General features: G+C 45.1%; 2 protein-coding genes across 3 annotated transcripts in view, besides 2 other annotated features; both read left to right on the forward strand.

Moving 5' to 3' along the window:
- STON1-GTF2A1L (STON1-GTF2A1L readthrough) overlaps positions 13,227 to 23,441 on the forward strand; it is a 246,595-nt gene continuing 236,380 nt past the window's right edge. Inside the window, exon 1 of the mRNA NM_001198593.2 lies at positions 13,227 to 13,290. The gene's annotated coding sequence lies outside the window, so the exon portion shown is untranslated. The remainder of the gene's footprint in view (positions 13,291 to 23,441) is intronic.
- Positions 13,449 to 13,996: an enhancer, noted in NCBI's record as "H3K4me1 hESC enhancer chr2:48757286-48757833 (GRCh37/hg19 assembly coordinates)". NCBI's record gives its function as "activates a minimal SCP1, AML or CMV promoter by ChIP-STARR-seq in primed H9 embryonic stem cells {active_cell/tissue: H9 hESC(primed)}" and the evidence as "EXISTENCE:reporter gene assay evidence [ECO:0000049][PMID:30033119]".
- STON1 (stonin 1) overlaps positions 13,456 to 23,441 on the forward strand; it is a 68,360-nt gene continuing 58,374 nt past the window's right edge. Inside the window, exons 1-2 of one of the 2 annotated variants that reach the window (NM_001198595.2) lie at positions 13,456 to 13,518; positions 14,015 to 14,131. The gene's annotated coding sequence lies outside the window, so the exon portion shown is untranslated. The remainder of the gene's footprint in view (positions 13,519 to 14,014; positions 14,132 to 23,441) is intronic. The other variant, NM_006873.4, reaches the window with a different exon arrangement.
- Positions 13,588 to 13,787: a silencer, noted in NCBI's record as "silent region_11481". NCBI's record gives its function as "represses an Ori minimal core promoter by ATAC-STARR-seq in GM12878 lymphoblastoid cells {active_cell/tissue: GM12878}" and the evidence as "EXISTENCE:reporter gene assay evidence [ECO:0000049][PMID:35858748]".

Below are 23,441 nucleotides of genomic sequence, written 5' to 3' on the forward strand. Positions count from 1 at the left end.
AAAACACTTCTCAACTGCCCCACCGCTTCATATATTTACCCATGCTTCCCGTTCTCCCCTGCTTCAGAGGCAGAGGCATCTCTGCTACCCTTAAAGGTAGGGTATTTCTGATGCTCTTAATGCCATACCTTTTCTGGTGCTTGTTTTTTCACTTTTAGATCTTCAATTTCTCATTCTACTGATGTCCTCTCCCTCAGCTTCCAAATAGACTGAACTTAGCCCATACTTTTTTTATCAATTTAATTTTTTTGAGACAGGGTCACACTCTGTCACCCAGGCTGGAGTGCAGTGGTGTGCTCACACTCACTGCAGCCTCGACCTCCTGGGCTCAAGCGATCTTCCTGCCTCAGCCTCCCAAGTAGCTAGGACTATATGTTTGTGCCACCATTGATACAGTTTGCTGACAGATTTATCTAAGATTGCGACTCCTTTCCCCTACACTTCTATTACTACTCTGCTTTATTTTAATCCTTAGTATTTATAATCTAACATATGATATATTTTGCTTATTTATCTTATTTATTACCTGTTTCTCTCACTAGATGCAGCTTCAGGAAGGCAGGTGTTTTTGTCTTGCTGCGTTCCCTGTACTTAGAATACTGTCTGGCATCAGTTAATATTTGTTGAATGAATGTTGATTGGACCGGATGTGGGGTGTGAGCGAAAGAGAGGAGTCAAAGATGAAGCCAAAGGCTTTGGCCTGAACAAACTTGACTGAGCAGGAGGATTGAGGGAGGAGCAAGTAGCTTCCACCTGTTTGTAAAGGAAGCGGGAGACCTGGAATCACTTTTGATTCCTCCTCACCTGGCACATCTCATTGGTCATCTTATTGAATCTTCCTGCCTTTGCAATGCCATGCACTTCTGATCTCTCCTTATTCAGTATCTTAAATTGAGCCCTGAATACCAGTTGTCTGGACTACTTGTCTTCCTGTACTCCAGTCCTTCCACCCCTTCTGCCAGGCCGTCTTTCTTTCTTTCTTTTTTTTTTTTTTTTTTTTGAGACGGAGTTTCACTCTTGTTGCCCAGGCTAGAGTGCAATGGTGCAATCTCAGCTCACTGCAACCTCTGCCTCCCAGGTTCAAGCGATTTTCCTGCCTCAGCCTCCCAAGTAGCTGGGATTACAGGCTCCCGCCACAATGCCCAGATAATTTTTGTATTTTTAGTAGAGATGGGGTTTCATCATGTTGGGAAGGCTGGTGTTGAACTCCTGACCTCAGGTGATCCACCCGCCTCAGCCTCCCAAAGTGCTGGGATTACAGGCGTGAGCCACCGCACCCAGCTAGGCCATCTTTCTAAAACATATCTCTGCCATAGCCATTCTCCAGATGGAAAGCCTTCACGATGGCTCCTTGTTGTCTGCTGGGCAAGATCTAGTAGTAGTGTGTATGTGACACTTGCTTAGCTCACTTTCTCCTCATTCTCTTCCATATACACAGTGTACCCTCCCTCTACTTTAACTGCTTACAGTAAAAACTCTCAGACCTCTGGATCAGGAAAGTTTCATGTCTCCTGAGCAATGAGCCTTATTTTTCCCTTAGAGACAATGTGAATCTTGGGATTGTTTCACTCTTTGCTTTGGTGGCTGAGACTTGTATCTCCCACCATCTGTGACAGCTGTCAAAAGAGCTCCCAGACCAGCCACCTCCATTGTCTTGCATGGTGTGTGGCCCTATAGGTTCTGAGGCAGTGCTTGTGGACTGCCTGGCCATTTTGTAGGGGACAGTTTCCGTGGGAGGTTTCCTAGGGCTGAGGGATAGGGCAGGACTGTAGAGGGCACAGTTGGATCCCTGGCAAAATTGTGCTCTTCTGACTTAACTTAGATCTTTGCTCTCTTGGCGGTCATCTCCCAAGGCATATAATAACCACTGTTTATTAATCACTTACCATAAGTTAGGTGTAGGTATGACTTGACATGTATTACTTCATTTAGACTTCCCAGCAACCATATCTCATACATACCATTACTATCCCCAGTTTACAGATAGAAAGCCAAGGCTTAGAGGGACTAAGTAACTTTCCCACAGTCACACAGTACCTGCTGGAGCCAGGATTCAAACCCAGTCTAGCCTGACTCAGCTTGGATTATTCACTACTGTGCTATGAGCCTTTTAAATTGGGGGCTTTCAACTCCTTCAGGTACTGTATATTTGGAAGACAAAAATTAAATTTTGGCCGGGTGTAGTGGCTCATGCCTGTAATCCCAGCACTTTCAGAGGCTGGGTCAGGAGGATCACTTCAGCCCAGGAGTTTGAGACCAGCCTGGGTAACAGAGTGAGACCTCATCTCTACAAATTTTTTTTAAAAATTAGCTGGGGGTGTTGGTGCACAGCTGTGGTCCCAGCTACATGAGGGGCTGAGGCAGGAGGATTTTCTGAGCCCAGGAAGTCAAGGCTGCAGTGAGCCATGTTCACACCATTGCACTCCATCCTGAGTGACAGAGCAAGACCCTGTCTCAAAAAAAGAAAAAAAGAAAAAAACAAGGAAAAAAATACTAAATTTCTTAGCAACTCCAGCAGTATTTCATTCAACATCCCCTTTCTACATCTTCACTAAGTACCCCTGTGCCTCCTTTCAGTCAGCTTTTAGTGAACTTCTTGAGCTAATTTAAAGTCCCTGGCATATGGTTTGCCTTTGACGTAATTTTTTCTTCCCCTGATCCCTCATTTTTATTTACATATTCCTTGTTACACCAGCCTTGCCGAACACCAGATTCTGAATTTTATATATTTATGCCATGACGCCATCCCTTCATTCTGGTCCTCTTTCTGTGTAAACGTTCTTGTTGTTGCTGTTTTATTATGAGAATTTTCTAACATGCACAAAAGTAGACTCATACAAGCCCTGTGTCCCCATCACTCCTTATGAACATTTTGCCAATCTTGTTTTATCTTTTTTCCACACTTCTTTTTTTCTGGCATATTTTAAGGCCATTCTCGGACACTGGGTCATTTCGTCTATAAATACTTCAGTTCTGCGGGTGTTTGTAAAGATGGGAGCCTGTCTTACCCATGTCATCATTCATTTGGCAAGTGTGTGCCGAGTGCCTGCTGCGTGCTTAGTGCTGAGCAGACTGTGGCACGCTCACCAGACGTGCTGGCTGCCCTTGAGAAGAGCTTACAGCCTGTTTTTAGTGAGACAAGGAAGTGAACACGCAAATTATAACCACGAACTCATTTGTTCATCCTGTCCTGCGATTATTTCAGAGCAATAAGGAAGAGATAATACATGGAGGCTTTTTGGCAGGGCATGGTGGCTCACGCCTGTAATACCAGAACTTTGGGAGGCAAAGGCAGGCAGAGCACTGGTCAGGAGTTCGAGACCAGCCTGACCAATATGGTGAAACCCCGTCTCTACTAAAAACACAAAAATTTGCCGGGCGTGGTGGCCGCCTGTAGTCCCAACTACTCGGGAGGCTGAGACAGGAGAATTGCTTGAACCTGGGAGGCAGAGGTTGCAGTGAGCCGAAATCATGCCACTGCACTCTAGCCTGGGCGACAGAGTGCGACTCCATCTGAAAAACAAACAAACAAAAAAAAATGGAGGCTTTTATTTTTAAAGTAGTATCTGTATAAATATATGTGTGTGTGTGTATTTTTGTTGTTGTTGTTTTGACAGGGACTCACTCTGTCGCCCTGGCTGGAGTTCAATGGTGCCATCTCTGGTGGCACTCCCGCTTCCTGCGTTCAAGTGATTCTCGTGCCTCAGCTTCCTAAGTAGCTGGGATTACAGGCGCCTACCACCACGCCCGGCTAATTTTTGTATTTTTAGTAGAGACGGAGTTTCACCATGTTGGTCAGACTGGTCTCAAACTCCTGATCTCAGGTGATCCACCCGCCTCGACCTCCCAACGTGCTGGGATTACAGGCGTGAGCCACTGCGTCCAGCCCGTATCTGTATTTTTAATTAAGTTTTGAACTTAGTTTGAGTTAGGCTGCTCTTAAACAGTTATTACTAAGATAAAATAAGGCAAAACCAAACAGACCCCTGATCCTCCCGCCATTTCATGCTCCCCACAGAAAAACCACTTTCATTCACTATTTTGTTATCTATATTTCCAAATGGCATGCTACCTTTGCTCTTCTTGTTAGGCATTATTAATTGAATTTACAGTTGGAAGATGAGTATTTGTCTGTTTCATCTGCCTCCCCTTTGCATCACTCACATACACATACATATACTCACTGTTTAAACTAGTTATATTGACATTTGGGTCTAGCCTTGTGGCTCATGCCTGTACTCCTAGGTACTTAGGAGGCTGAGGCGGGATGATTGCCTGAGCCCAGGAGTTCGAAGGCAGCAGTGAGCCGTGATTGTGCTACTGCACTCCAGCCTGTGCAACAGAGTGAGACCCAGCCTCTAAAAAAATAAAACTAAAGGCCAGGTGCGGTGGCTCACACCTGTAATCCCAGCACTTTGAGAGGCCGAGATGGGCAGATCACTTGAAGTCTGGAGTTCAAGACCAGCCTGGCCAACATAGTGAAACCCCGTCTCTACTAAAAATACAAAAATCAGCCGGGCATGGTGGCGTGTGTCTGTAATCCCAGTTGCTTGGGAGGCTGAGGCAGGAGAACCACCTGAATCTGGGAGGTGGAGGTTGCAGTGGGCCAAGATCTTGCCACTTCACTCCAGCCTGGGCAACAGAGCAAGATTCCATCTCAAAAAGCCAAAAACATTTGGACTGGGTCAGTATTCACCATATACTTCATTATGAGTATTCAAATACTGGTGATAGTTGAGTCATATAACATACTGTGATTATTTTTCCTTTCTTGTACAACTCTGTTTTCCCTGGAGTCTTTTTAAAAAAAATTATTTACTGCTGGGCGCTGTGGCTCAAGCCTGTAATCCTAGCACTTTGGGAGGCTGAGGTGGGTGGATCACGAGGTCAGGAGATCGAGACCATCCTGGCTAACACGGTGAAACCCCGTCTCTACTAAAAAAATACAAAAAATTAGCCGGGCCTGCTGGCAGGCGCCTGTAGTCCCAGGTACTCGGGAGGCTGAGGCAGGAGAATGGGGTGAACCCGGAAGGCGGAGCTTGCAGTGAGCTGAGATCGCGCCATTGCACTCCAGCCTGAGGGACAGAGTGAGACTCCGTCTCAAAAAAAAAAAAAATTATTTACTATGTTTTCTATGGTACTTATCACTAGTTTATTCCTAACTTCACTCCCAAGTGTATAAGGCTCCTTACAGTGTGGTCAAATTCAGTTGGGTGTTCAGCCAACTTCCATCTTCTTCAGGAATTCTCTCCCAGAACCATCTGACGTGCTCCAGGCTGCCTCATTTGATCTCTGGGCTGGCAGCACTGATGTTGTCTTGGGATCTGCCTTCCTCAATATTCTGGGCATCAAGTGTCTCTCATCCTTAAAACAACCCTTGCTCAACTCCATGAGTCCTTCTAGTGACTGCCCTGTCCCTCTACTTGTGTTTACAGCCTACCTCTTGAAAGAATTCTCTCTCTTGTCTGGGCCTCTTGTGACATGGGAAGTGAAAGAGGAGATCTGGCCAGGCGCAGTGGTGCATGCCTGTAATCCCAGCACTTTGGGAGGCTGAGGTGGGTGTATCACCTAAGGTCAGGAGTTCAAGACCAGCCTGGCCAACAAGGTGAAATCCTGTCTATACTAAAAATACAAAAAATTAGCTTGGCGTAGTGGCTGGCACCTGTAATCCCAGCTACTCAGGAGGCTGAGACAGGAGAATTGCTTGAACCTGGGAGGTGGAGGTTACAGTGAGCTGAGATCGCACCATTGCGCTCCAGCCAGGGCAACAAGAGCAAAACTCCGTTCCAAAAAAACCCAAAAAACCAAAAACAAGAGACTGGGTGTGGTGGCTCACGCCTGTAATCCCAGCACTGTGGGAGGCCAAGAAGGGTGGATCACCTGAGGTCAGGAGTTCGAGACCAGCCTGGCCAACATAGTGAAACCCTATCTCTACTAAAAATACAAAAATTAGCTGGGTGTGGTGGCACACACTTGTAGTCCCAGTTACTCGGGAGGCTGAGACAGGAGAATCGCTTGAACCCGGGAGGTGGAGGTTGCAGTGAGCCGAGACCATGCCACTGCACTCCAGCATAGGTGACAGAGTGAGACTCTGTCCCCCCCAACCCCCCAAAAAAGAGGAGATTCTCAGTCCATGCACAGAGTAGGGATTGAAATCTGCATAGGAGTGAAAACCAGAAAAAAAAAAAGAAAGAAGGACTTTTCTTTTAATTAATCATTCATTGCAGGCCAGGAGCAGTGGCTCATGCCTGTACTCCCAGCACTTTGGGAGGCCAAAGCAGGCGGATCACCTGAGGTTGGGAGTTCAAGACCAGCCTGGCCAACATGGTGAAACCCTGTCTCTACTAAAAATATAAAAATTAGCCAGGCCTGCTTGTGCACTCCTGTAATCCCAGCTACTCAGGAGGTTGAGGTATGAGAATTGCTTGAACCTGGGAGACAGAGGTTGCAGTGAGCCAAGATCACACCACTGCACTCAAGCCTGGGTGACAGAGTGAGACTATGTCTCAAAAAAAAAAAAAAAAAAAAAAATCATTCATTGCTTTCTGGAGAAGATGGAATTTTCAAAATTGTCTGAAGCAAAACTTCCTGCTTTTTCCTGATTATATATTACATGCCCATTGTTGAGAATCTGGAATATTGGGCCAGGTGCAGTAGCTTACACCTATAATCCCAGCACTTTAGGAGGCCGAAGCAGGAGGATCGCTTGAGCCCAGGAGTTTGAGACCAGCCTGGGCAACATAGGGAGATCCCATCTCTGTTAAAAAATATATATTAAAATTTTGAAAAATTTGGAAAATGAGGAAAAGAATCAGGAGCAGAGATTTAGCTATTAACGTTTTTGCTTGTTCCTGCTTTTTATTTCATGCATATATAAATGTGTTTTTAATTAAAGTTGCGCTTATGTTACAACAAATTCCAAGTGAGAAAAAAGTTGGAATTGTGTTATAAGAAATTTCAGATGAGGCCTGGCTCAGTGGCTCATGCCTGTAATCTCAGCACTTTTGGGAGGCTGAGGCAGGTGGATCACTTGAGGTCAGGAGTTCGAGACCAGCCTGGCCAACATGGTGAAACCCTGTCTCTACTAAAAATGCAAAAATTAGCTGGGTGTGGTGGCACATGCCTGTAATCCCAGCTACTCAGGAGGCTGAGGCAGGAGAATTGCTTGACCCCAGGAGGCGGAGGTTGCAGTGAGCCGAGATCGCCTGGGCAACAGAAGGAGACTGCATCTCAAAAAAAAGAAAAATTTCAAATGAGAAAAAAAGTTATTTAATAGGAAGAGGGGGAGTAAATTACCTGGTTGCACAGCTCTGGAGGGCACCATTCACACTGTGTTCAGTAGCAAACCCAGCGATCCTGGGTTGAAGGGGTAAGAGCCTCCAGGCACAGTTTAAGAAACTGATAAAAAGCCTTTGTTTTGTCATATCCTTCGTGGCCACCATTCCCCCTCCCCCCCCCCCATTTAGTTGTTACATGCAATACTACTCAATTTGCAAAGCTAATACAACTGGATTCTCCACTGTTTTTGGTAAGAAACTATCAGTTCAACTAACACAGATACTTTTTTTTTTTTTTTGGAGGCAGAGTCTTGTGCTGTCACCCAGGCTGGAGTGCAGTGGTACAATCTCAGCTCACTTCAACCTCCACCTTCTGGGTTCAAGGATTCTCATGCCTCAGCCTCTCGAGTAGCTGGGACTACAGGCGGGTGCCATCATGCCTGGCTAATTTTTTGTATTTTAGTAGAGACGGAGTTTCACCGTGTTGCCCAGGCTAGTCTCGAACTCCTGAGCTCAGGCAATCTGCCCAATCCACCCGCCTTGGCCTCCCAAAGTGTAGGATTACAGGCATGAGCCAGCAGGCCCGGCTTAACTAACACAGATACTTTTTTTTTTTTTTAATACTTTTAGGGTACATGTGCACAACGTGCAGGTTAGTTACATATGTATACATGTGCCATGTTGGTGTGCTGCACCCATTAACTTGTCATTTAACATTAGGTATATCTCCTAATGCTATCCCTCCCCCCCTCCCCCCACCCCACAACAGGCCCCAGTGTGTGATGTTCCCCTTCCTGTGTCCATGTGTTCTCATTGTTCAATTCCCACCTATGAGTGAGAACATGCGTTGTTTGGTTTTTGGTCCTTGCGATAGTTTGCTGAGAATGATGGTTTCCAGCTTCATCCATGTCCCTACAAAGGACATGAACTCATCATTTTTTATGGCTGCATAGTATTCCATGGTGTATATGTGCCACATTTTCTTAATCTAGTCTGTCATTGTTGGACATTTGGCTTGGTTCCAAGTCTTTGCTATTGTGAATAGTGCCACAATAAACATACGTGTGCATGCTCACACAGATACTTTTTAACAACATGACCACTTTCTAAGTTCATTACCCTTTGAAACAAAATAAAACAAAACTCAGCTACACCATTTCTAAACAAAGGTGTAAAAAAAAAATTGAAGATCCAGTTAGCTAAGGAAGCCACTAAAAGAGTTGGAACAAAAGGCTCTCTCCAAATGGCTATGAATTTAAGCCTTTATAATTCATAAAGAACATATGAATTCAGGAAGAAAAATGTGCAGTTTATAGTTTTATATAGCATTAACCCTGGAAGTTGCTCTCAGATCTTAAAAGTCTTCAAACTCTTCTGTTACTTTTACATATGAAGATAGCAACGTATTTGGTTGATGATGGCTAAGAAAACATCTGGCACAGCCATATTAACAAGGGAATAGTTTGTTTTACGACAGAAGAGGAAGCTTCTGTTCTCGGCTAAGAGCCATGTCCTCAGATACCATGGCAATAAATGGAAAGCTTGTCAGTAAGTGGTTGCCTCTTTGTCTTAAATTTTTAAGCAGTTTAGTAGTTAGCTCCAAATTAGGAAATTAACTGGCAATCAAAGCATTGGAGCAGGAAAACCCATTATAGCTCTTCCAAATCTCCAAAAAAAAAAAAAAAAAAAAAAAGGTTAGCATTACGATAACTCTTTGTAGGAAGAGGAATACAGCAGGGCGCGGTGGGTCATGCCTATAATTCCAGCACTCTGGGAGGCTGAGGTGAGCAGATCACTTGAGACTAGGAGTTCCAGACCAGCCTAGGCAACGTGGCAAAACCCTGCCTCTACTAAAAATGCAACAACAACAACAAAACTAGCCGGGTGTGGTGGCGTGTGCCTGTGGTCCCAGCTACTCAGGACGCGGAGGTGGGAGAATCACCTGTGACCAGGGAGGTTGAGGCTGCAGTGAGCCAAGAGTGCGCCACCACACTCCAGCCGGGGTGACAGAGTGAGAACCTGTCTCAAAACAAACAAACAAACAAAAAAAATTAGAAGAATTGAAAGAATTGACTGGTAGATGGAAACATGCTGGAATCTGTTGGCTTGCTTGCAGGTATAGGGGCCTCAAAAGGTATCTCCCCATTTAGAACCTTTGTGTTTGTTTTACCAGTGGCTTTAATTATTTCTCAGCTCAACCCCACTGCTTCCCTAAACACTGGATAGTAGTGGAATAGCTTAGTGGTGACATCTTATAGGCCCAAGAATAGAAATAGCACCGGATCAGTTAACTAAGAACAAAATGTCATTCACATACATCTTGCTGAGATGGTGAAGAATATTCTCCCTTTCTTCGGCTTTCCTATATTTCTTTAGGAGACCTCTTGTACTGTGGTAAATTGTCAACATATCTCATGTAGTTATTCTCATGCATGCCATCTTCCTGAACAGCAACAGATACTGTGAGGCAGGAACTGTGCCTTATACTTTCTCCCCCACAGTGCCTAGGAGAATGTCTTGTACACAGTAGGTTTTCAGTAAATGAAAACTGGATACATTTTAGGAATCAAGCCAAGGGAGTGGCCAGCTGTAGCAACGATCAATGTGGCTCAACTACACTCAAGAGTATCCCATCTTCAGGACAAAGGACAGTCAATCTTGAGCCATTCTGAACTGATTATCATACTCCTAAGTATCATTGATTTCATTTGGCATTTTCAGTGAAGATGTGGGCTTTTTATTTATCTCTGGAATATTCCATCCAGAGTATTTGGGTTTACTTATAGCAAAAAAAAAAAAAAAATTCATTTAAAAACTGTTTATCAAACATGAGAGCAAAATGTATTATGTACTCAAGATGGTGATTTTTAAATTTTTTCGATTTCATTTTAACTATTGTTGAAGCCATCCACTGGGAGATTTTATGGTTTTCAAAAAAACCATACTTATATATGTATAAAATATATATAATATATAAATATATAAAATACATACATAAAATATATATACATAAAAAATATAAATATTTGTTGAGATGGAGTCTCGCTCTGTTGCCCAAGCTGGAGTGCAGTGTTGCTATCTTGGCTCACTGCAACCTCCGCCTCCTGAGTTCAGGTGATTCTCCTGCCTCAGCCTCCTGAGTAGCTGGTATTACAGGCGCCCACCACCACGCCCTGCTAATTTTCATATTTTTAGTAGAGATGGGGTTTCACCATGTTGACCAGGCTGGTCTTGAACTCCTGACCTCAGGTGATCTGCCTGTCTCAGTCTCCCAAAGTGCTGGGATTACAGGCATGAGCCACAGTGCCCAGCCAAAAAGCTGTAGTTTGAATGAGTGTTATAATGTAAACAGAGATTTGCTGTTGCCAAGTTTTTAGAGAGGAATGTTCCTACGAAGCATTTAGTTCTCAGTGTGTCCCTCCCCTTGGATGTATATTAAATGATCCTGACAGCTTCAGCTGACATGAGTTTTGAGGAATTCCAAGCTAATCTATTAGGTCATATCTACAGATACTTTGGGGATCTCTTGTTAAACAGTTGGGAAGTTCTAAATATTTCCATGAAAAAACTGCCAGGAAAGAGAAATCTGCTAATAAAAAGGAGAATGACATAGTTTGAGGGTCTACTTATTGTAAAGCAAGAGAAAGAACAGTAACTGGAGTAAAATGAGCTCACAGCTGTGATGAACGGCTGTGGTGGCTTAGCTATTGAGGCCAGGCTAAGCTGTTTACCACCAGATTTTGATACAAAGGGACACTACCAGAAAGGATCCTTTGGAAATACATGGTGGAGTTGCAAGAAATAAATCTTCATTCATGAAACTGGCAACCTTTGGGGCAATGCTGAATCACACAGAGGGGGAAGGCCTGTCCTTTGCAAAAGACAAAATGGTTTTCAACCAACTGTATTAGTCTTTAGAAAGTTATGGGCATCCTTGCTTTGCAGAAGTGTCAGAGTTTCCAAAAGAGATTTCTTTCACCAGGTGGCTACCCACTAATAAAGGCCATACTGCTTCTTTCAAAGATGACAAAGTTTAAAAGGTGCATACAGAACTCTGTAAATGCAATGATGATTACTGTTTGTCAAATGTGTCGTTGCTTCCTGCATGAGTCCTGTCTCCAGTTAGCTGTGGCAGTTTCTGAGATGAGCTGGCCTCTGTGGAAGACCCACTGGTGAAAGGTGGGCTGGATACAGGACCAAAAAGGTTCAATTTGGGGGTTCAATTTGGGGACCCCAAAATGCCTGCGGTCAAAGCATGAGGACAACAAAGAGTTGCCCCTTCTCTTTTTCTTCCGTTCCTCCTCCTCCTGCTTCCTGTGTCCTTCTTGCTCCACTTCTCTCAGCTCCTTACCAGAAGCCTGACTTAGGGGTCCAGTACCTGTCTGTTTCCATGGAACAATCTCTGACAAGTTAACCAGCCAGTCAGTTGACTTCCTATTCCCTAGGCTCTCCTCTTCCCTAGGCAAGTTGCCCTTCCTCAACTCTTAACCATTACTGGAAGGTAGCTGGAGGAAATGAGAAGCTGAGGAGAAACCAGTGCCTTTTTCTGTGTTTAGGATATATTAAGCATAAGCACAATTAGTAGTTTTATCTGAGAATAAAAGTATCCTAAATAGATCCTGGCTGTGTGATTTCAGGCGCTCGAGGAGTGCCCTCCTGGAACGTCAGTTTCCTTCCTCAAAGCCCCGAGGGCAGGTTCTTAACACTGGCTGGAGGTCAAATAGGGTACTGACTATATTTCCATTTCACCAGCGAACTCCAAGGTCAAAAACAAGGCTACACCTGACAGAACATTTAAAAAAGAATTACACTGCTGTGCAAATACAAAGAAGTGTCCACTGATTTTCACCAACCCTGGGTGCACTGCCTATGAGTTAGCCCAGCTCCTCAAGGAAATTTACGATTAAAAAATAATTCATTGCCTTTCCACCTTCCAGCATAGTACTTCAAGTTGAGATGCTCACCGGGGCCTCCTAACCCCTCTCTTTGGATGCAACCCCTTTCTTCCTAGGTGGTCCATCCTACAGGACTGTTAAACCAATATTTCTTATTTGCCATTTTGAATCCTCAAGGATTCACTGAGTGCCTACTCTACACCTTCGCTTGAAAACTTTCAGAGATTTCCTGTATTCTGCTTCATGCCCAGCTCCACCTTCCCATCTAAACATTGCCCACTTACCCTAAGCCTTCCAGTCTTGCCAACCTCCAAAGCACCATGCCATGGGGCCTAAAATGCCCTCTTCTCTCCCCTCTGAGCCTGTTCAAACTCAGCTCAGTCTCTCGTCCTGGGTTTTGGTGTCTCTCCAGGGTAAAGGGGTGGGGAGGGTGCCTTCATTCTGACTGGCTCCCAGTGAGGCAGCCCCCCTTGAGGAAGAGGCTGAGATGCCAAGTGACTTGCCTGGAGTCATTTGCCAGCAGGCGATGGAATAGGGACTACGAGACACCCTGCAGCCTCTCCTGGGAGGACAACGCCCCTTCTCCCTCTCCATGCACTCTTGAGGCAGCAAAGAGGAGGCATCTGGACGCGTTTACCTCCTCCCCACCCCCACAGCTTGGCCCTCACTAAACTATCTTGTGTCCTTCCTCCTGCTATGATTGATTCGCCCAGGAAGGTGGGGCTTCATCTTTACCTTTCAAATATAATTCTTTAGTTCTCCTAATTACAAGGTGGGGGGTGGGGGGTGGGGGTGGGGTGAGGCGGGGGGTACAAAACAAAACAAAACTCCATGAAGCAACTTAGAAAGCACGACCGCAAAGGCCCTCCATCATCCCCACCCAGAGGTGAGGACAAGGTCTGGGGGTGCTGGGTGGCTTCAGACCTTCCACGGGTCCAAGCTATCTGCTTCAAGAGGGCATCGAAAGGTAACTCATAGACTTACCGCCCCCGCCCCCCGACTTTTGCAGGAGGGAGCGCTCTCCCCTCCTCTGGGAGGCTGGAGACTCGGGGACAGAAGATGCGCTGGAGGGAAGAGAACGGAGCGTCGGACACCAGAAAAACTTTGGGGGATTCGGGGTGAGAAAGAAGGCGTGAAGAGAGAAGGGAGGCTCAGCAGGGGAGGAGGGGCGGGGGCGGGGGCGGGAGCGGGAGGAGTCACTGCGCCGCGGCCGCCCCTCCCCGCCCTCCACTCGGCGGCCCCGGGTCTTCCTCCCCCTCCTCCTCCCCCTCCTCCTCCCCCTCCTCTTCCTCCGCCTCCTGGTGTGGCTGGCTGCGGCCAGAATCGGAGCCCCAACCGCGCTGCCGGTGAGTGACCAGCCCCAGGGGACAGAGACGGGAGGCCTGGGACCCCCCCTCTCCAGGGTGGGGCCTCCCGCCGTGTCTGGGAAAGTTTGCGGGCGCCCCGGGACGCGGGCATCTCCAGGGCCGCTCGGCGCCTCCCCATCTCCCCGCGCCCGCCCTGGCCGCCCCCAGGGGCGCCCTGGGGCCCGCAGAGGGATGGCCTCCCGGCAGGGACTCCTCGGCTCCCCTCTGTTCTGAGACTGCTGCTGGGACCGGGGTCCGACTCTAAAGAGAAAACTCAAACAGCAAAAAAAGGAATATCGACTCAGTTCCGAGGGCGGGGGCCGGGGCTCGTTCTCACCCGCGCGCGGCCCCTCGACCTCTCGGACCCGGGCCACCAGCTCTGCGCCCCTCACGCCTCCCTCGGGGTCTCTGTGTCTCTCTCCCGCTCCCGGACTCCCTCCTCCTTCTGACTGCTGTTATTTGGGCTGTTGTCCCTCCCCGCTCCCTGGTACCTCAGCTCGGACCTTAGCCTGTGCCTGCAGCCCGGAGTCCCCTCCTGCCCTGGAAGGCAAGGAGCCAGGCCACGGGGCCACAGCCGCGGGGGCCACCACACTGGCCCAAATATTTCCTGCAGGTATGACCATTCACTGGGTATTGGGGTTGGGTCCCTTGGACCCACAAACTGAACCTCGTGGGTACAGGGAAAAATTAAAATATATTCCTCCTTAGGATTGTACTGCTTCTGTTGGTTTGGCATCTTTTTATTTTTAACCCTTCTAACTGTGCTTTCTTCGAATAATAATGATACTTCATGTAATTAGCGTTTCTAATATCTAAAGACAGAAGAAGGAAGAAAATAAACGGAAGAGAGAGAATGCTTGCTAAAAATACTCATTTTTGACTTCAGTCCACACTCGACTGTTTTCCTGGGAGATAGAAGTTCAGTGTAGCTTGTTTTCAGACTAACCGCAAACACGATTACAGCCTCCTCCAGGCTAGAAGTTTTAATTTGCCTGACATGCAGCACACTGTTTGTTGGTATTCCCAGCCTGGCATTCCCGTCTGCATAGCTCTAGTCTCCCTCCCAACTCCCCCACCCCCACTTTCTTTCTCATAAAAGGGAGCTGTGAAAACAAGGCAATGGGAGAGGCTCAAACGAGCTGGACCACATAATAAAAACAGCCCTACTTATTTTAATCCTGAGGCTATGGACTCCCCTGGACTCTGATTGGGTGGAAGAATTGTTTAGTTCATTTGTGTGGTTTTTCTGTCAGTAGTTATTATGGTTGAATCAGTGTTTCCATGACAGTCTTGCTTCTGTGGGCACGATGGGGAGCCTGTTAATTCTCGGATGGGTCTGGACAGATCAAGTCTGGAGTCTGGAGAGATTTTTCAGGGCTTGACCTGGGCTGATATTGCAAACCTCTGCACACTCACTCAGAACCAGAGCAGCCGGGAGCAGCCTGAGCTGGGGTTTTCTTCCACATGATCTGGGAAGAAAAAGCTCTACCAAGGAGCGAACTGTGTGAGCATGGTTGCTGGGGGATGTTGAATGTTTTACGTTTTTAGGAAGAACACACTTCTCAAAACTTTAGCCATTCCTGTTTCCATACAAACAATAAATGTGGTTGTAACAAATGTAGTAGATCAGATTCTGAACAACCCCTTAAAAAACAGGTCCAAGTATTGAACCATTTGGAAATAAAGATTTTATTTTATTTGAATTCTACTGGAAATAAAAGAGTTTATGTTAAAAAGGATGTAATTCACTTCTCTCCACTGATGCAGTTTGACAGTTCCCCATTGGTATGAATCAGTTAGGTTTTATTGTGGTCTCAAAACATCATTAAGGCAGGGCACAACATCATTAAGGCAGGGCACGGGGTTCATGCCTATAATCCCAGCATTTTGGGAGGCCGGGGCGGGCAGATCACTTGAGGTCAGGAGTTCGAGACCAGCCTGGCCAACCTGATGAAACCCCGTCTCTATTAAAAATACAAAAGCTAGCTGGGCCAGGTGGCGGGAACCTGTAATTCCCAGCTACTTGGGAGGTTGAGGCGGAAGAATCGTTTGAACCTGGGAGGCGGAGGTTGCAGTGAGCCGAGATTACACCACTGCACTCCATCCTGGGCGACACAGCAAGACTCTGTCTAAATAAATAAATAAATAAATAAATAAATAAATAAATAAATAATTGATAGGCAAGTGTTGTGACTGTGACTTCCATTCAAAAAGTAAGTCCAAAAAAAAAAAAAAACAACAAAAGTAAGTCCATAAATTCTGAGCTTGTTTGGCCCTGTTGCTTAGAAAAACAATGTACTGTGCTCAGATAAAAATCTTCAGTCTCTTCCTCTTCCTGAGAATTTTTAATAGTGCATTTAATATCCTGTAAGTCAACCTTATACTGTTTACAGAAAAGTTGCCTTTCTGCCTTGTCCAGCTTTTGCACTATCTCATGAAATATTGTTAGACTGGATGGTTTGCCACGGGTACAAGAGTCTGCCCAGCAGCCCGAGGAGAGGCTGGGGTTGTAATGAAGGCCACGGGGGCCTGGACCTAAGGAGCAGGTGGTCTGGATGGTGAGATGAAGGCTACATCCCCAGACAGCCACAGAAAGCAGCCACTGATCACCTGGACAGGTCAGATGAGTTGGAAATATCAATACATGAAGTGTGGGACCAGTGGAGAGCAAGGAAGGCAGAGGTGGTTAAGAAGCAAAATGATACAAATAAATAAAAAAGGAAAAGGCCAGGCACAGTGGCTCATGCCTGTGAAGTGCTAGGTGTGGTGATTCATGCCTGTAACCCTAGCACTGTGGGAAGTGGAGGCCAGAGGATCACTTGAGGCTAGGAGTTAAGACCAGACTGGGCAACAAAGTGAGACCCCATCTCTTAAAAAAAAAGATGGGCCGGGCGCGGTGGCTTCCGCTTGTAATCCCAGCACTTGGGGAGGCCAAGGCAGGCAGATCATGAAGTCAGGAGTTCCAGACCAGCCTGGCCAACATAGTGAAACCCCGTCTCTACTAAAAACACAAAAATTAGGTGGGCATGGTGGCGGGCACCTATAATCCCACCTACTCGGGAGGCTGAGGCAGGAGAATCACTTGAACCTGGGAGGCGGAGGTTGCAGTGAGCCGACTGCACCACTGCACTTCAGCCTGGGCGACAGAGCGAGACTCCGTCTCAGAAAAGAAAAGAAAAAAAAAGATGTAGGCCAGGTTCAGTGGCTCATACCTGTAATCCCAACATTTTGGGAGGCCACGGCAGGTGGATCGCCTGAGGTCAGAAGTTCGATACCAGCCTGGCCAACATGATGAAAACCTGTCTCTACTAAAAATATAGAAAATTAGCTGGGTGTGGTGGCAGGCACCTATAATGTCAGCTACTCGGGAGGCTGAAGCAGGTTGCAGGGAGCCAAGATTGTGCCACTGCACTGGAGCCTGGGCAACAAGAGCAAAACTCCGTCTCAAAAAAAAAAAAAAAAAAAAGAGATAAAAGATGTAAAATAACCCAAAGGAATACTCTGTGACCTTTTAAAATCATGTTGTATAAGAATGTTGAATTACACAGGACTTTTTTTTTTTTTTTTTTTGAGACAAAGTTTTGCTCTCGTTGCCCAGGCTGGAGTGCAATGGCGTGATCTCAGCTTATCGCAACCTCCACCTCCTGGGTTCAAGCGATTCTCCTGCCTCAGCCACCCGAGTACCTGGGATTACAGGCATGTGCCACCATGCCTGGCTAATTTTGTATTTTTAGTAGAGATGGGGTTTCTCCATGTTGGTCAGGCTGGTTTCGAACTCCTGATCTCAGGTGATCCGCCAGCCTCAGCCTCCCAAAGTGTCAGGATTATAGGTGTGAGCCACTGTGCCTGGCCTGGGGTTAATTTTTGAAAGCAAGTTATAAAATGGAAAGCACTATAATTTTACTCTTTGAAAATACATCGAGAAAATACTGGAATTATGTGCATCAAAATGGATGGTGAGAGTATAGCTGTTTTTAAATTTTCTTTGTACTTGTATTTCTCAACTTTTATAGTAATAATAGCTAACATTTACTGAGAACTAAGCACTTACATATGGTATTTTATTCGAAAACTCTTTGAGGTAAATATTACTATTATTTTCATTATGGAGTTTCAGAAACTAGAACCAGAAGGGTAACTCATCCATGGTCACACAGCCACTAAGTGCTGGAATCAAGTGTTGAATTCAGGTCGGTGGCTAAAGTCTATGCATCTCTGTCACTACTGTCTACCATCTCCCTGCACATGTATTATTATTATTTTAATTATAAGGAATAAGTAGAAAAGGAAAGGGAAAATGTTTCATGCTTTAGTAAGAACTGATGGGCACAGTGGCTCATGCCTATAATCTCAGCACTTTGGGAGGCTGAGGTGGAAGGATCACTTGAGCCCAGGGGTTGAAGACTAAGTGGCACAAATTAGTCAGGCATGGTTGCACATGCCTGAGTCCCAAGTACTCAGGAGGCTGAGCTGGGAGGATCACCTGAGCCTAGGAGATGGAGGCTTCAGTGAGCTATGTCACGCTACTGCACTCCAGCCTCGGCAACAGAGCGAGACCCTGTCTCCTAAGAGGGGGTGAGGAGGGAGAAAAACAAAAACAAAAACACACTGATACGTAAAATGGAAAATGCCTCCCATCTCTTCCAGCTCCGCCAGTCACTTCTCTTTAGAAGTCTTTGGTAACTGCTCCAGATTTAGAGGTAGCTCACCCCTTCCTTGCAAACCAGCTCCACTCACAAGAAGAATCCCGAATTCCATGGAGGCTTCCTGGCCAGCCTGGAATTCCAGGTACCTTATGGGATTCTGGAGCAGTCCTCAGTACAGGGCAAGATTTTTAAAGTAGATCAGGCAAATTATGTCTTCAGAGCTCTGCAGATTACAGGGTGTCATCATTCTTTGCAGCGTCAGGAGAGTGTGATAGGTAGAAAGACCCAGGGAAAGCACCGAGGCTCAAATGTACCTGTGTGTTACATGGAATGCCAGGGGAAATAAAGGGTTTACCATGGAATAAGAAAGAGAAAAAAAAAACCTCATTGCTGGATGCTTATTACTATGAACACACAACAATAAATTATCTTTCGAAAGCTTGCCTATGTGGGTGATCCCATGCATTGGTGAGTTTGACTGATTGGGTGAGGTGGAAATATTTAGTGTGAGTGATTCTGGGGAGAGCTCTGGGAAAAAATGCCCACATCCTGTACTACCATGTCCCCTCACAGGCAAGCAGCTCCTGGGATCACTCATCCATTCTCTTTGTGGAAGGTACCTTGAGATCCCCAGAAGGATCAGCATTCTTAGAGCCCCTGGCCCATCACATAACAAACATGCCTTAAGAAGAAGGCTTTCAGCTGGGCGCAGTGGCTCATGCCTGTAATCTCAGCACTTTGGGAGGCCGACGTGGGGGGATCACCTGAGGTCAGGACAAGAAGTCTGATCACAAATGATTGTCATTTTATTATAATCTGCCTTCTCCCTGGTAGCTTTTAAAATTTTCTCTAAAATGTTCCACAGGTATGTCTAGGTATGGATTTAGAAAATTTTATCCTACCCAGCAGTCAGTGAGCATTTGTGATTACACAAATTTGTGTAGCTGGGCACGGTGGTTCATGCCTGTAATCCCAGCACTTTGGGAGGCTGAGGCGGGCTGATCGCTTGAGCTCAGGAGTTTGAGAACAGCCTGGGCAACAAGGATGAGACCCTGCCTCTACAAAAAATATAAAAATTAGCTGGGCATGGTGGTGTGCCCTGTGGTCCCAGCTACTTGGGAGGCTGAGATGGGAGGATCACTTGAGCTGGGGAGGCAGAGGTTCCAATGAGCTGAGATCAGGCCACTGCACTCCAGCCTGGGTGACAGAGCGACACTCTGTCTCAAAAAATAAATCAAAAAACCTAAAAACCAAATTTGTGAGGATTTGTGATTACCCAGTGAGCTGTGTGACCTTGGGCAAGTTGCCAAGTTCTCTCAGTCTCCTCATCTATGAAATATAAATAATGATAGTATCTATTACAAAGATACTGTGAAGAGATAGTGCATGAAAATGTCAGAATACGCCAGGTGTGGTGGCTCACGCTTGTAATCCCAGCACTTTGGGAGGCCAAGGTGGGCAGATCACCTGAGGTTAAAAGTTCGAGACCAGCCTGGCCAACATGGTAAAACCCCATCTTTACTAAAAATACAAAAATTAGCCGAGTGTGGTGGTGGGTGCCTATAATCCCAGCTACTCGGGAGGTTGATGCAGGAGAATAGCTTGAACCTGGGAGGCGGAGGTTGCAGTGAGCTGAGATCGTGCCATTGCACTCCAGCCTGGGTGACAGAGTGAGATGCCATCTTAAAAAAAAAAAAAAAAAAAAAAAAGTTAGAATAGTACCTGCTATATAAGGAAGAACGCAAAAATTGTTAGCTATTATTACTTTTTTATTTTTTCAGAATTTCTGGGCCATCTTGGATTTGACCAATTTATATAAACGTTAGTTTGTCTAGTTGCACACACACAGAAAATCCTGTTGAGATTCTCTTTGAAATTGCATTCAATTAATACTGACATCTTTACAGTGCTGGCTTTTCCTATCTTCTCCTTTTATTCAGGTGAATGATTACTGGTGATTTCCCCTATAAATGTCTTCTACAACTTTTGCTGTATTTATATCTTATAGATTTGGTTGATATTTTAAACAATATCTTTTGTCCTAGTATATTCTCTAGTTTACTTGCTGGCCCATAGAAAGAAACATTGCTGATTTTTGAATTTTGTTTTTTTACCCAGCATCCCAGCTGATTCTCTTATTAGTTCTAATAGTCTGCATATAGATAATTCTTGAATTTTCTATATAGACAATCATAAAACAACGATAATTTATCTTTTCCATTTCTGTGACTCCTACATCTTTTTCTTACCATACTGCATTGGGGTAGATGGTCCAGTACAGTGTTCAATAGAACTGTGATGACAGGCACCCTTGCCTTGTCTTCTTACTGTCTTTAACTTTAACTGCTCTTAAAGTTTCTCCATTAAGCGTGAAGTTTGCTTAAGGTTTCAGTAGATAGTCTTTATTAAACTAAGAACTTTGCTCTATTCTTAATATTTTTTAACAAGGTAAAAATTATATCATGACAGTATATATTTTACTTAATGCTTTAATGTCTTTTTCATAACTATATGAGATGATCATTTTTTCTTGATATTACATTGTGATAAGATGAGCGTATTAATTGTGTTGAAACATGTACATAAATATACATATACAGGTATATTATTCTGTAGGGTATCGGTTGCTAGTATTTTACTTTGGATTTTTGCAAATGTTCATAAGTGAAGTTGTTCTAGAATTTTCTTTTTAAAATATTGGTCTGGCTGGGTGTGGTGGCTCATGCCTGTAATTCCAGCCCTTTGGGAGGCCGAGGCGAGCTGATCAACTGAGGTCAGGAGTTCAAGACCAGCCTGGCCAACATGGCGAAACCCTATCTCTACTAAAAATGCCAAAAATTAGCTGGGCGTGGTGACATGCACCTGTAATCCCAGCTACTCGGGAGGCTGAGGCACGAAAATCACTTGAACCCGGGAGGTGGAGATTGCAGTGTGCTGAGATTGCACCACTGCCCTCCAGACTGGGCGACAGAGCAAGACTTCATCTCAAAAAAAAAAAAAGAAAAAAAAAGGAAAAAAAAAGGAAATTGTTCTTATATTGTTTGGTATCAAGCTTGTATTGGCCCTATAAAGTAATCATAAGTATATGTCTTTCTTTATCTTTTTTTTTTCGAGACAGAGTCTTCCTGTTTCCCAGGCTAGAGTGCGGTGGCATGATCTTGGCTCACTGCAACCTCCGACTCCCGGGTTCAAGCAATTCTCCTGCCTCAGCCTCCTTAGTAGCTGGGATTACAGGCACGCGCCACCACGTGGGCCCAGCTAATTTTTTGTATTTTTAGTAGAGATGGAATTTCACCGTGTTAGCCAGGATGGTCTTGAACTCCTGCTCTCATGATATCCCCTCCTCGGCCTCCCAAAGTGCTGGGATTACAGGCATGAGCCACCGTGCCTGGCTGGCATATATGTTTTTCTTAACTAGTTTGTAAGAGATAAAGATTATCTGTTTCTTAAAATTTGGTAAAACTCATTACGAAATCATCTGAACCACTTATAAAGGGCATATGGGTCAAGTTTTTGGTGATTCAGTTTCATAAATGATTAGTGATGAATTTAGGCTTTCTATTCCTTCTTGATTCAGTTTTGATAATTTAGTTTAGATGATCCATTCATGTGTTCTTGGGCTTCTTAGCATAGTTATTCGTAATTTTCTCTTAGGGTTTTATAAATATTGCCTCTATCTTTTTTGTTTTTTAATTTTTTTATTACCTTTCCTATGGTGCTGAGAATCTAGCTTATATTTCTTATTTATTTATTTAAGACAGAGTCTCACTCTGTTGCCCAGGCTGGAGTGAGTCATGCGATCTCGGCTCACTGCAACCTCTACTTCCAGGGTTCAAACAATTCTGTTGCCTCAGCCTCCCGAGTTGCTGGGATTACAGGTGTGCGCCACCACACCCAGCTATTTTTTTTTTTTTTTTTTTTTTTTTTATATTTTCTGTAGAGATGCAGTTTTGCCATGTTGGCCAGGCTGGTCTCGAACTTCTGGCCTCAAGTGATCCGCCTGCCGCGGCCTCCCAAAATACTTGGATTATAGGGATGAGCCACTGCTCTCGGCCTATTTATTGATTTTTTAGAGATGGGATCTTGCTGTGTCACCCACTGCTGGAGTGCAGCGGCACCATCATAGCTCACTGCAGCCTCAAACTCCTGGGCTCAAGCTATCCTCTTGCCTCAGCCTCCCTAGTAGCTGAGACTACAGGTGCGCACCACTATGCCCAGCAAAGTTTTGTATTTTTTGTAGAGATGGGGTCTTGCTATGTTGACCAGACTGGTCTGAAACTCCTGTCCTCAGGTGATCCTCTTGCCTCAGTCTTTGAAAGTGTTGGGATTACAGGCATGAGCCACCACTCCTTGCCCTTTTTTTATTCTTAATATTGTTTATTTGTGCCAACTCTCTTTTTCTTTATTAATATAGATGTCTACTACTTAATCTTTTCAAATAAACAGCTTGTTCTTATCTATATTTTTGTTTTTCATTATTTTTACCTTTATCTACATTTCTTCTGTTTCTAGCTACTTGAATTCATGCCTAGCTTACTTTTTGTTTTTCAGTAAATTTATTTAAATCTATAAATTTACCTCTAAATACTGCTTTAGCTACATCATGCAAGTTTTAACCCATGTGTGGTGTTATGATATATGTTTTCTTTTTTGAGATGGGATGGAGTCTCGCTCTGTCACCCAGGCTGGAGTGCAGTGGTGTGATCTTGGCTCACTGCAACCTCTGCCTCCTGGGTTCAAGCGATCTTCCTGCCTCAGCCTCCTCAGTAGCTGGGACTACAGGGGCATGCCAGCACACCAGGCTAATTTTTGTATTTTTAGTAGAAACTAAAGTTCCTGGGCTCAAACGATCAATGGGCCTCAGCTTTCTAAAGTGCTGGGATTACAGGCGTGAGCCACTGTATACATTTAACCTTATTTCTTGCATGTACTACACGCCTGATTTCAAATTTTATAGGCCACTCATTTTCTACTCTTTGCCCAAGCAGATGACAAGGTTTCTGGCTGTTTTCTCAGGTTAGTAAATGATGTTCCTCTAGACCTATTTCACATATGGAGCAGCTTTTTATGACCTCCAGCTTTTTGTAAGTGCCTCACTAACAGCTCATGGTGTAAGGTGACCATCTCCTGGACCCCCTCACTGCATGTATGGTCATTAAAGCCCCAGCTCGCAGGTATTTAGGCCTCTTGCTGCGGTGGATTTCTCTATGAGCCCCTTGGCCTCAGCTTCCATACATTGACCTAACTTCCACTTCCCTCTGTTTCTGGTACCTGGAG

The sequence above is a fragment of the Homo sapiens genome, chromosome 2 (assembly GCF_000001405.40).
Source record: "Homo sapiens chromosome 2, GRCh38.p14 Primary Assembly".
NCBI lineage: Eukaryota > Metazoa > Chordata > Mammalia > Primates > Hominidae > Homo > Homo sapiens.